This window comes from Homo sapiens, chromosome 2 (genome assembly GCF_000001405.40).
Source record: "Homo sapiens chromosome 2, GRCh38.p14 Primary Assembly".
NCBI lineage: Eukaryota > Metazoa > Chordata > Mammalia > Primates > Hominidae > Homo > Homo sapiens.
In genome coordinates, this window is record NC_000002.12 from 32,444,351 (window position 1) to 32,457,017 (window position 12,667).

Genomic DNA, 12,667 nt, shown 5'->3' on the forward strand with positions numbered 1-12,667 from the left:
ATCACATATACCCCCTATATATGTGCAATTATTATGTATCAAAAAAGAATGAAGGTAGTTATCAAGTAGGAATTCATAAAGCAGTTCTCTAAAATAGCACATATATAAGGTAATGAAGATTTTTAAAGATTCTTACTGTTTTTGCTAGTACATGGTGTTACTATGAAGGGCTACTAACTTGGCCTTTTAAGCCAAATTTTATTTATTGATAGACATTTTTCACAATCTGTTTTATTAAAAAACAAACCATTCAGGCTGGGCACAGTGGCTCACACTTGTAATCCCAGCACTTCGGGAGGCCATGGAGGGAGGATTGCTTGAGGCCAGGAGTTTAAAAAAACAACCCATTCAACAAGTTACCTCAGTGAGTTATATATTTCATAAAGATTTCATCTTTGTGTTAAACAAAAAAAATGCTTGTTTAGAGTTGTTGAAAAGTTATATCATTTTCTTAATTTAGGTAAAGCGTGTTTATATTTACATTGAACATATTTTGGCTACAACCATTAACTCTATGGAATAGAACATTTTGACTCAGTTGCTCATTACGATAGTCTCTAATGTTTAAAAGCTTCTTAAGGATAGTTTTAAAGTTGGGACGCTTAAGTTTTGGCATGTATGTAGCAGTTAATAAAAGTAAAAATACACTGTCATGATAATCTTTTAAGCAATGTCGATCTGTACCTAACGCATTATAGAATAATTTTATTCCCCATTCATTCACTAAAATGGGCTGTTTGAAGCTCACTGCCATCCACTATTTTTTAAAGTTTAGTACAGAGAAACAGTATGTTGGTAAGGATGATTTGAAGGACCTTCAGTCTCCTCACTTTTTCAGCTATTTCGAAGTGTCCCTCAGAGGCATCTCACATTATTATACACCTAAATAAATACACATTATTATACACCTAAATGACTTTATAAAACTCTCCAGAAATATTTGAAATTCTTAGTGTAAGACTGTGCCTCAGTGTGTTGTTTATATTTTAAGTGTCCTCTTTGATCCCTCCAAGGAGTTATCTTTGTAAATTGCCTATAAGATTGTCTTTCCAGAAAAGGGAGTATCTTTCTAGCAAAAGGAAGTATTCTGATAAATAGGTAATCTTAAATTCTCATTGTTAGAGGAAAAGGAGGAAAAAGAAACATTTATTTTGTTTTTATTGTTTCCAGGTTCTGTCTATTGGTATTTTGTCTTACTGAATTATGTGAAAGATGAAGATCTGGCTGGATGCAGTACAGCTTGTGCATCTTTGCTTACTGCAGTGTCCAGACAGTTACAGGACAGGCTAACACCAATGGAGGCTTTACTTCAGACAAGGTATTTTAGTATATCTAATGACTAATAATAGGCGTCTCTGAGTATGATCACGCTTTTGCAGAGAACTGTTATTTAATATATATATGCTGATAACAGTCTTTTTCTTACAAAAATGTTTAGTTTATACCTTACTTTTTCCATACGATAATAGCCTGAGGTTTTACTTTCTTCTGTTTTGTCAGAAATTACTCTTTTTTTTTTTTATCGAGATGGAGTTTTGTTCTTGTTGCCCAGGCTGGAGTGCAATGGTGTGATCTCAGCTCACCACAACCTCCATCTCCCGGGTTCAAGCGATTCTCCTGCCTCAGCCTCCCGAGTAGCTGGGATTACAGGCATGCACCACAGGCCTGGCTAATTTTGTATGTTTAGTAGAGACGGGGTTTCTTCATGTTGGTCAGGCTGTTCGCAAACTCCCAACCTCAGTTGATCCGCCCGCCTCAGCCTCCCAAAGTGCTGGGATTACAGGCATGAGCCACCGTGCCCGGCCAGAAATTACTCTTTAACAGTTTGATAAATCCTTATGATGGTTATTCAGAGGGCTAATTTTATTTAATAATGAAAAGTGGTATGCCCTGCTAATGGAAGAAGAATGTAATGTGTCTGTTTCTCTGTGCACTTTATAGGTGGAATTATGTGAGTCACTTATTGTCCCATAACTAGTATTCTTCTACCTGCTACTTGTATTTCAAAACTTCTAACGTGATGAATTAAGCAATAGCAAAAGGTTAGATTTAAGTTCTTGCCTGATTGTCTACGTTTGAAGTAAGGCGTTCCTTTATTTAGAGCAGTGATTTTATAATTTCCTAGGTTAGATGTTCTGATTTTGATGACATTTTACTCAAAGCCTTTGTACTTGAGGCTATGTCGTAATGATTCACGGGAGAGAATGGTGCCTGATACCCCTCGCTTCAATCTGCAGGTGGCAGTCTTAGTACCTTAGTTGCCAGCTTATTGGAATCACATTTGTTGAGTCTCTGGACAGTGTCTTTTAGAGTATAGATTGCAGGGAACATAGTTGAGATTCACTGAATTTGATGGGTCAAATCTAGTCAGCATCTCCCTCTGCGCTGTTTTTTTTTTTTTTTTTTTTTTTTTTTTTTTTTATTGATCATTCTTGGGTGTTTCTCGCAGAAGGGGATTTGGCAGGGTCATAGGACAATAGTGGAGGGAAGGTCAGCAGATAAACAAGTGAACAAAGGTCTCTGGTTTTCCTAGGCAGAGGACCCTGCGGCCTTCCGCAGTGTTTGTGTCCCTGGGTACTTAAGATTAGGGAGTGGTGATGACTCTTAACGAGCATGCTGCCTTCAAGCATCTGTTTAACAAAGCACATCTTGCACCGCCCTTAATCCATTTAACCCTGAGTGGACACAGCACATGTTTCAGAGAGCACAGGGTTGGGGATAAGGTCACAGATCAACAGGATCCCAAGGCAGGAGAATTTTTCTTAGTACAGAACAAAATGAAAAGTCTCCCATGTCTACCTCTATCCACACAGACCCGGCAACCATCCGATTTCTCAATTTTTTCCCCACCCTTCCCGCCTTTCTATTCCACAAAACCGCCATTGTCATCATGGCCCATCCCCAATGAGCCGCTGGGCACACCTCCCAGACGGGGTCGTGGCCGGGCAGAGGGGCTCCTCACTTCCCAGTAGGGGCGGCCGGGCAGAAGCGCCCCTCACCTCCCGGATGGGGCGGCTGGCCGGGCGGGGGGCTGATCCCCCCACCTCCCTCCCGGACGGGGCGGCTGGCCGGGCGGGGGGCTGACCCCCCACCTCCCTCCCGGACTGGGCGGCTGGCCGGGCGGGGGGCTGATCCCCCCACCTCCCTCCCGGACGGGGCGGCTGGCCGGGCAGAGGGGTCCTCACTTCCCAGTAGGGGCGGCCGGGCAGAGGCGCCCCTCACCTCCCGGACGGGGCGGCTGGCCAGGCGGGGGGCTGATCCCCCCACCTCCCTCCCGGACGGCGCGGCTGGCCGGGCAGGGGGCTGACCCCCCCTCCCCCCTCCCGGACTGGGCGGCTGGCCGGGCGGGGGGCTGACCCCCCCCACCTCCCTCCTGGTCGGGGCGACTGGCCGGGCAGAGGGGCTCTTCACTTCCCAGTAGGGGCGGCCGGGCATAGGAGCCCCTCACCTCCCGGACGGGGCCGCTCGCCGGGCGGGCCCCCCTATCCCCCCACCTCCCTCCCGGACGGGGTCGCTGCCGGGCGGAGACGCTCCTCACTTCCCAGACGGGGTGGCTGCTGGACGGAGGGGCTCCTCACTTCTCAGACGGGGCGGTTGCCAGGCAGAGGGTTTCCTCACTTCTCAGACGGGGCGGCCGGGCAGAGGCGCTCCTCACATCCCAGACAGGGCGGCGGGGCAGAGGTGCTCCCCACCTCTCAGACGATGGGCGGCCGGGCAAAGACGCTCCTCACTTCCTAAATGGGATGGCGGCGGGGAATAGGCGCTCCTCGCTTCCTAGATGGGATGGCGGCCGGGCAAAAACGCTCCTCACTTTCCAGACTGGGCAGCCAGGCAGAGGGGCTCCTCATATCCCAGACGATGGGCGGCCAGGCAGAGACGCTCCTCACTTCCCAGACGGGGTGGCGGCCGGGCAGAGGCTGCAATCTCGGCTCTTTGGGAGGCCAAGGCAGGCGGCTGGGAGGTGGTTGTAGCGAGCCGAGATCACGCCACTGCACTCCAGCCTTGGCACCATTGAGCACTGAGTGAACGAGACTCCGTCTGCAATCCCGGCACCTCGGGAGGCCGAGGCTGGCGGATCACTCGCGGTTAGGAGCTGGAGACCAGCCCGGCCAACACAGCAAAACCCCGTCTCCACCAAAAAAAACCGAAAACCAGTCAGGCGTGGCGACGCGCGCCTGCAATGGCAGGCACTCGGCAGGCTGAGGCAGGAGAATCAGGCAGGGAGGTTGCAGTGAGCCGAGATCGCAGCAGTACAGTCCAGCTTCGGCTCGGCATCAGAGGGAGACCGTGGAAGGGGACCGTGGAGAGGGGAGAGGGGAGAGGGGAGAGGGGAGAGGGAGAGCCCTCTGCGCTGTTAGTCAGACTGCTTTTAAAACTAAGTAAAGGTAATTTGTTAATTAGATGGCTGAAAGGAAAATTGTTAGTGCATTATTTTATTTTTCAGATATGGATTATATAGCTCACCATTTGATCCAGTCCTCTTTGATTTGGAGATGAGTGGCTCTTCTTGTAAAAATGTTTATAACAGCAGCATTGGTGTCCAGTCAGATGAAATTGATTTATCAGATGTCCTTTCAGGTAGTGATTTCTTTTATTAAAGGAAATTCTGAATGTTGTATCTTGGATTTAAGTTGCCATTTGACTTAATAGATTATAGTCATGATGTTTTGTCTTTAGAAAACTAAAATTCCTTAGAACTTATCATATGAATTATTAAAATGTTTCCTAGAAGTTCTTAACTTCCTCTTTCCCTCTGAAGAAAATCCCAGTATATTAAAGTCATATTTGAAAGGGTTGTGACTTTAATTTTTTGTTTTTGTTATGCATTTCATTTCAGTGTGATTTTAATGCTTATGAGACTATTTAAAATGTATTTGTTGTAGCCTTTTCAGTTTTATTTGATGTATCTTTGCTGCCTCTATAAAGTTAAAAAAGATTTCCTATTTCAAAAATACAAAATTAGTAATATATACTTACTGTAATAAGGATGCACAAACAAAAGATAATTTTCTGCATCTGTCACTTTCTTGAGGTAAGCTTTGTATACATTACGTATATCCTTTTATACTTTCTAAAGAATGTGTTTTTCGGATGTATGCATGACACTATTTTTATAATCTTTTTAAGTGCTAAAATTTGCTGTTTATTTTTGTTAGATAAAAGAGTGACCATTTCATTTTTTTCTTCCGTCTAATTGTACTTATTGCAGATGTTGTTAGGATACAAAAATGTTAGAAAATTTGCAAACAGATTAAGGTAATAACCAGATATAAGTAAATTTTGAGAGAGAAGTTCAATTTTGTTGAAAAGTAACTTATGAGGTGTAATAAAAGCAAAATTAAAAAGATCAAATACAAAAATATAAATGAAATGTAAAATGCCTCAACCCCAACCTTTCCACCCTCTTAGGTTACTATTGTTAACTGGATGTTTAGCTATTTAAACTTGTTTGCAACCTGTATTCGTTAATATAGTTTCTAATGAAAGAGCATACTACACATACTGGTCTGTCACTTGCTTTTTAATTGCTTATGCTGCCTTGAATATATGTGTTATTACTATTTGATGACTTAGGCTCTTGATTGCCTTACACGCATCTCACCATTTTCTGTCTTCTCTATCCAAGTGATGCATCAATTAGACCATTGTAATTTATGATTGGAACTAGTAGGAGAGACTAGAACTGGAGATACCAATGCCTTCAGTATACCAAAAGAAGCAGTGAAATCTGTTAGGGTGAAAGCGTAAGGGAAGGACTGTAAGGTTCATTCCAAGCTCTGAGGTCATCAAGTTTGCAAATGAGTAAAGAAGACTCAGAACAAGGAATTTAGAAATCATGATATGTCGGCCGGGCACGGTGGCTCACGCCTGTAATCCCAGCACTTTGGGAGGCTGAGGTGGGCAGATCACGAGGTCAGGAGATCGAGACCATCCTGGCTAACACGGTGAAACCCCGTCTCTACTAAAAATGCCAAAAAATTAGCCAAATGCGGTGATGGGCACCTGTAGGCTGAGGCAGGAGAATGGCGTGAACCCGGGAGGCAGAGCTTGCAGTGAGCTGAGATAGCGTCACTGCACTCCAGCCCGGGCGAAAGAGTGAGACTCCGCCTCAAAAAAAAAAATCATGATATGTCTCCACTTTAATGTCTCATTGTGTTGTTCCTCATTATTAGTCTCTCTACAGCATTTTTTGTTGTTGTTGTTAATGGCATCAGTGGCACAAGACAGAAATGTAAATGTCATTCATGATACTTATATCTTTCTTATCACCCACATTGAGGATATCACCATATGGCACCTATTTTTCCACCAGTGTATGCAGTTGTTCCTCTCTATCCGTGGGGAATTGGTTCCAGGACTCCTCGCAGACAACAAAATCTGTAGATACTCAAGTCCCTTATGAAAAATGATGTAGTGCAGTTTGTGTATAACTTACACACATCCTGCTGTGTGCCTTAAATCATTTCTACATCACTTATAATACCTAATACGATGTTAATGCTACATGAGTACTTCTTATACTGTATTGTTTAGGGAATAATGACAAGAAAAAAAGGCTGTAACAGACTCAGCCATTCATTTTTTTCCCCTGAATATTTTCTGTCTGTAGTTGGTTGAATCCATGGATGCCAAACCCACAGATACAGAGAGCTGAGTGTATGTCAAGTTTGCTCACTCTGTTACCTCCCATGATCACAAGTTACAGTCATCTTGAACCCATACTACAATCATAGCTTTCACACTGGTCTGCCTACATCTGTTCTTGCCTCACTTTAGTGCATTCTCCACATTGCATTGAGTATGATCTTTCAGTTACTTTACCTTTCTCCTTAGAGTACTTTTCAGGTCTTCCCATCTTCTGAAGTTCAAAGTTTCTAATACAGCATATAAAATCCTAAATGATTTGGCTCTCTTTTCCTTGCCACTTTATCTTGTGTCATTGCCCCGTTTAGTCTTTTTTGGCCCTGTGATTCTCAAAGTGTGTTCTATAGACCCCCAAAGGGTTCCTGAGATCATTAAGGGGATCTATATGGTCATAACTATTTTGATGATAGTAGAATGATGTTATTTGTCTTTTTGATTTCGTTGACATTTTTATCGATTGTGAAAAAGCATGGTGTTATTCACTGTGCACTTGTAATAAAAATGTCGGTTTCATTTTAAAATGCCCTTGACGTTGCAGTAAAAATTATTAATTTTATTAAAATTTTAACCCATGAATACACATCTTTTATTCTGAGATGAATGATACATATGCATAGAGTACTTCTGTGGCATGCCAAAGTACCATGCTTGTTTCAGGGAGATGTGAAGTTCAGTTACAAGCTGAACTACTTGCTTGTTTCTTGGAATACCATTTTTATTTGCAGTAATGACTGACAGACAAACTACGCCCATTTGCACTGCGTTATTTGACAGTTGTTTTTTGAAAAGTGAATGAGAAACATCTCCCATAGTGAGCTTGATAGCTTCCCAGTATGTAGACTTTTCTCATGGAGTCTGATATTAGAGAGTGTAATTTTCCAATACTGGATAATGAAATGTGTCAACATTTGGAATATTTGTATACAGTGGTGAACCAATATTTTCCAAATGATCAATGCATGATGTTTCACCAGTATGCATGGGTAAAGTTCTTTAAAAGTATAAAATATATCAGTTGATCTTAATGTAACAGAGTTTGAGAAGTTCATTGGTAAGATTTCAGATACCACATTGTAACCTTTAAGAAATTACCACTTGTCAAGTTTTTGAATATGCAAGCATTTTAAAATATTCTTTTTCCAACTACATATTTGTGTTGGGTCAGATGTTTTCACCCACTTCTGCTAAAACAACATTTTATAACACGTCGAATACGGAGGCAGGTAGGAGAATCCAAGTATCCTCTGATACTTCACATTTTAAAGAGATTTTTAAATAGGTAAAACATTGTCACTTTTTTCATTAAATTATTTTTTTCTTCAGAAAACAGTTATTTTTCATCAAATTATGCTATTTTAACATTTAATGGGTTTATTATTAAATGAATTAATATTTAAATTTCACACCTTGAAATTTCTACTATGGTAAATACCAGTAAAACAAGGAAACAAAAGCTCTTCAGGGTGCTTAATATTTTAAAGATATGTAGAGGGATCTTAGAATTGAGAACTGTTCCTCTAGGCATATTGTTCTTTCAGTTCCTTAAATGTGCCATGTTTCTTTGCTATGGGGATTTCACTCATGTTCTTTCTGCATGGCTTTTCTGCCACTTCAAGGGAGCAAATGTATGAAACTCTCTTATTCTTCCTATGAATCCCCTCATTTTGTTAGAGAAGCATTTTATTATCCCATAACTTAGGACTGATTGCCCCTTGACTTACTAGTCCTTTAAATTTCTCTTAAGTAAAACCTTGCAGCTTAAAAAAAAGTTGCGTTAATTCCTAATAACCACTAACATAGAATATAGTCTTCGTGAGGACTGGGACTTACCTTTTATTCTTCTGTCTCCCAATTCTTGTATTGAGTAAGTGTGCAATAAGCATTTTTTGGAGCATGTGTCAGGCCCTATGCTGACCCCCAATAAGACATTGGAAAACAAGGTTATGACAGTTTATTCTTGTGTTTGATAGTCCTTCAGCTGTTAATGACAGTTTTTATACCTCCCCATTCTTTTCATCTGTGAATTCTGTTTTGCTTTGTGATTTAAATAATTCTGTTTAAATGAGTGCTAATTCCAAAAAAAAAAAAAAATTGCAAAGTAGTGAATATAATCCTTGCCTTCCCAAGCTGCATACGCAGTCCCTGTGAATTCATTTGTGTTCTTCCCTCTAGACTTCTTGCTGTGGTTTTATTGGTCATATAGTTGTGGCTACATGGTTTTTTCTTTTAAAAACTACTTATGCTAGCTTAAACTATTTTTATGACCATGAAGTAGTGTGCCTCATTCTATAAAACTGATAATATGAACAAAATACAAGAAACAATGTGTAGATAAACCTTGTTAATATTTTGAAATGTTCATCCTTTGTTTTGTGTCTTATATTTATGCAGTTGACATCTTAGAATGTATTCTGATTTTACATATAGCCAACAGATTAGGTGATAGCTAATGTGACTAGCTGATTTACTACTTTTTTCACCCCATTTGAGATTGAAATTTTTCACCCCATTTGAGATTGAAATCACTTGTTACTAAATGTAAGTTTCATGTTACAGGAAACTACCACTCATGTTTCTGTTAATGTGAGGAGCTACTAAGTTGCTTTTATCCAAATCTGCTTTTGTAGCAGGGAAACTCGTGCCTGCTGTTTTGTCAGTTTTCTTAATACCATGCCCATGATTCAAGCACTGTGTAAGAGTTGTGTATTTATATGTTCTAATTAAAATTGAAGTTGCAGCTATAATTATTGTTGTGACTATTGCTTTTTAAAAATTATCTTCACGTGTTATAAAACTTGTCTTTTGCCATTAGGAAATGGAAAGGTCAGTAGTTGCACAGCTGCTGAGGGTAGTTTCACATCTCTCACTGGACTTTTGGAAGTTGAACCTCTGCACTTTACTTGTGTGTCAACTAGTGATGGAACCAGAATAGAAAGGGATGATGCAAGTACGTTTACTGGTATATACCTTCTTTTATTATATACTTTATGCAGTAATAAAGTGATATTTATATATTTAAACATTATTTCTAATTATGTAATTTTCATTGCTGTTAAGTGGAAATTTATTTGTGGGAGGGGCATTTGGGGGAAATATAAATCGTTTTATATTCTTTCCTAAGTCAATTCACAGGGTTATTTTTCCCCCTGTACCCACTTAGAACAGTGTCTTAAATCATTCTGTTTTTATGTGTATGCACTTTCAGAAATTTTTTAATTTGAAAAATATCAAATATGTTGGAAATGGAAGAGTAAAAATAGACTACGTGTTTCTACTACTGAATGATGTTTTTGAGAAGGTTGAGATGAGTAAAGAGGGAATACTGTTTCTCGAACTAGTTTAAAACAACCTTGAATATGTGAGGAACTATTTGGGTTTGTTGAATATGTGATGTTCTTGGTGTGTTAAATACCTTCACTTAAAAATTAAGTTTTTGACCATCAATCAGTGGAAACTTGTTTATTTTCTTTCTTGTTTTCTGTGATTTTTTTTTTCCTTCTCACGTAGGAAGATCGGTATTTATTTACAGTTACTTCTATTGCAGCATAAATAATAGAAGTCTTTCAGTTAAGATTGGTTTATGATTTTATATCTGTATTAGTCACTGAAGGGTTTGACTGTTGTCTTAACGTGATTCTTCTGTTGATGGTTTTGTGTCATTGGGTACCATCTTAGTCTCCTCAACAGTTTAACAAAAAGCAAAAACGGTTTGCTAGAGAAGTCGTGAAAAATATAATCTTAGCTGGTTCCAGAATAGCAGGAGGTTTTAAAAGGAATTTATCAGTTCTTTATTTGAGTGTCTTTTTGTTAGGAATTGCCTTATATATCCAATTGTGGAGGTAGCTACTAAGTGAAATTCACAGTTTATGTAGTGAATATGAGCTTTTTAGATTAAAAACCTAATATTTCCTTTATATGGTGATTCTAGAAAGGTCAGAATTAATTTGTATTTGTTTTCTTGGACTATATAGTCATTTTGTAGAAACTTTTACATTTACACTAGAATAGAAACATGCCATGACAAAAAATTTGAACTTTCAGAAAATTATTTTATTATAAATCAGGACCTTTCGTGGAACTGTATTGAAATTAATTATCCTGGGCCTGGCGCGGTGGCTCATGCCTGTAATCCCAGCACTTTGGGAGGCCAAGGTGGGCGGATCATGAGGTCAAGAGATCGAGACCATCCTGGCTAACACAGTGAAACCCCGTCTCTACTAAAAAATACAAAAAAAATTAGCTGGGCATGGTGGTGGTGCCTGTAGTCCCAGCTACTCAGGAGGCTGAGGCAGGAGAATGGCGTGAACGTGAGAGGTGGAGCTTGCAGTGAGCTGAGATCGCGCTACTGCATTCCAGCCTGGGCAAACAGCAAGACTCTGTCTCCAAAAAAAAAAAAAAAAAAAAAAATTAAGTAGCCTGGTTTGAGACAAGCCTGGTCAACATGGCGAAACCTCGTCTCTACTAAAAATACAAAAAGTATTGCTGGGTGTGGTGGCAGGCACCTGCCTGTAGTCCCAGCTTCTTGGGAGGCTGAGGTACGAGAATTGCTTGAACCTGGGAGGTGGAGGTTGCAGTCAGCTGAGATTGTGCCGCTGCACTCTAGCCTGGGTGACAGAGTGAGACTCCGTCTCAAAAAGAAAAAGAAATTAAGTATCCTGGATTTTTATTTTATTTTACAAAAATTCATGTGTTTGCAAAAGGCACATAATTTTTAAAAGATAAAAGGTTAGGTTTGAAAAAGTTTTTCTCCACACTCCCCACCCATTTCTCCCCCTGCAAAGCAAGCAATGGAACGAGTTTCTTGTCTTTACAGGGCTAGTCTGTGTATATATATGCCATCACCTCTTTATTTCACCCAAAATGAAACTGCCTAAAGAGAGATTTTTATTAAATGTTGAGGCAAAGTGCTGACTAGTGATTATAAGGAGCTGAAAGATGATTGTAGTCTCTCAATCCTGTTTACTTTTTTGAAACATGTTAATATTAATATAATATCTATGCGGAAAAGTGCAGAAAATAATTGCATAGCTCGGCAGTTTATCATGATACACATTGTCTGTGTGATGACCAATAAGTAAAGAAAGAACATTTCCAGCACCCCAAAAGGTGTCTTCGTGACCACTTCCATTTATTTCTTCCTCATTTTCTCCAGAAGCTAAACATCATCCTTTTGGAGTAGTTACTTTTTGGTTTTTGTTTATTTCTTTGAATAACCACTTAATGATGCATTCTTGAACAGTGGTTGAGTAAGGTCTGTATAACATAGAATTGCACATGTATGTATATTTGGTTTGCCTTCTTTTCAATCCTATGATTATGGCATTAATCTATATCATTGCATATAGACAGTTGGTTCTTTTTCATTGCTGTTTAGGATTCTTTTGTCCGAATGCAACAAAATTTATGTATCCACTATTGGTTTGTATACTGCTGATAGACATTTGAGTTGTTTCATTGTGGAGCTAATAGTACTGATGGATATATTTTTGTCTTGAATATGAATGTGGAAGTTGATTCACTGCTTCATAGGGTATTCATATATTCAGCTTCAGTAAGTAAGTAACCTTTTTGCTACTGGTTCCTCTTTAAATACTGTGGAGTCAAATACTCAGAGTATTGATCTTGCAAATTTGTTGAGAATTGTAGAGGGTCAAATTCTATAAATATTCCATCCATACTTAATAATGTTAACTCTGCACTTGTTGGTGAAGTGTACTCTATATATCCTTTTGGTCAAGTTTGCTAGTTGTGTTCTTCAAATTCTCTATCTTTATTGGTTATTTTACCTGTTTGTTTTTTAGTTAATGAGGCCAGTATGTTAAAAAATGGTAGATTTGTTTATTTTTTGTCATCAAGTTTTATACACTTTGAGACCATCATATAAATTTAGAATGGTTGTGTCTTTCTTGGGAATTCTTCGATCATTATGAATTATCTTTTATTATTATTTTTTGAGATGGGGTCTTGCTATGTTGCCCAGGCTGGTCTTGGGCTCGAATGTCCCTCCTGCCCCTGTCTCCCA

General features: G+C 39.7%; 1 protein-coding gene across 50 annotated transcripts in view, besides 1 other annotated feature; it reads left to right on the forward strand.

Annotated features, from left to right (window-relative positions):
- BIRC6 (baculoviral IAP repeat containing 6) overlaps positions 1-12,667 on the forward strand; it is a 261,856-nt gene that overhangs the window by 87,328 nt on the left and 161,861 nt on the right. For 25 of the 50 annotated variants that reach the window (XM_006712055.4, XM_005264451.5, XM_047445167.1 and 22 more), the window contains 3 exons: positions 1,171-1,318; positions 4,445-4,578; positions 9,458-9,604. In XM_006712055.4, coding sequence (XP_006712118.1) covers positions 1,171-1,318; positions 4,445-4,578; positions 9,458-9,604 — 429 coding nt within the window. The remainder of the gene's footprint in view (positions 1-1,170; positions 1,319-4,444; positions 4,579-9,457; positions 9,605-12,667) is intronic. The other 25 variants (XM_005264450.5, XM_047445165.1, XM_047445159.1 and 22 more) reach the window with 1 other exon arrangement.
- Positions 2,915-3,492: an enhancer, noted in NCBI's record as "NANOG-H3K27ac-H3K4me1 hESC enhancer chr2:32672333-32672910 (GRCh37/hg19 assembly coordinates)". NCBI's record gives its function as "activates a minimal SCP1, AML or CMV promoter by ChIP-STARR-seq in naive H9 embryonic stem cells {active_cell/tissue: H9 hESC(naive)}" and the evidence as "EXISTENCE:reporter gene assay evidence [ECO:0000049][PMID:30033119]".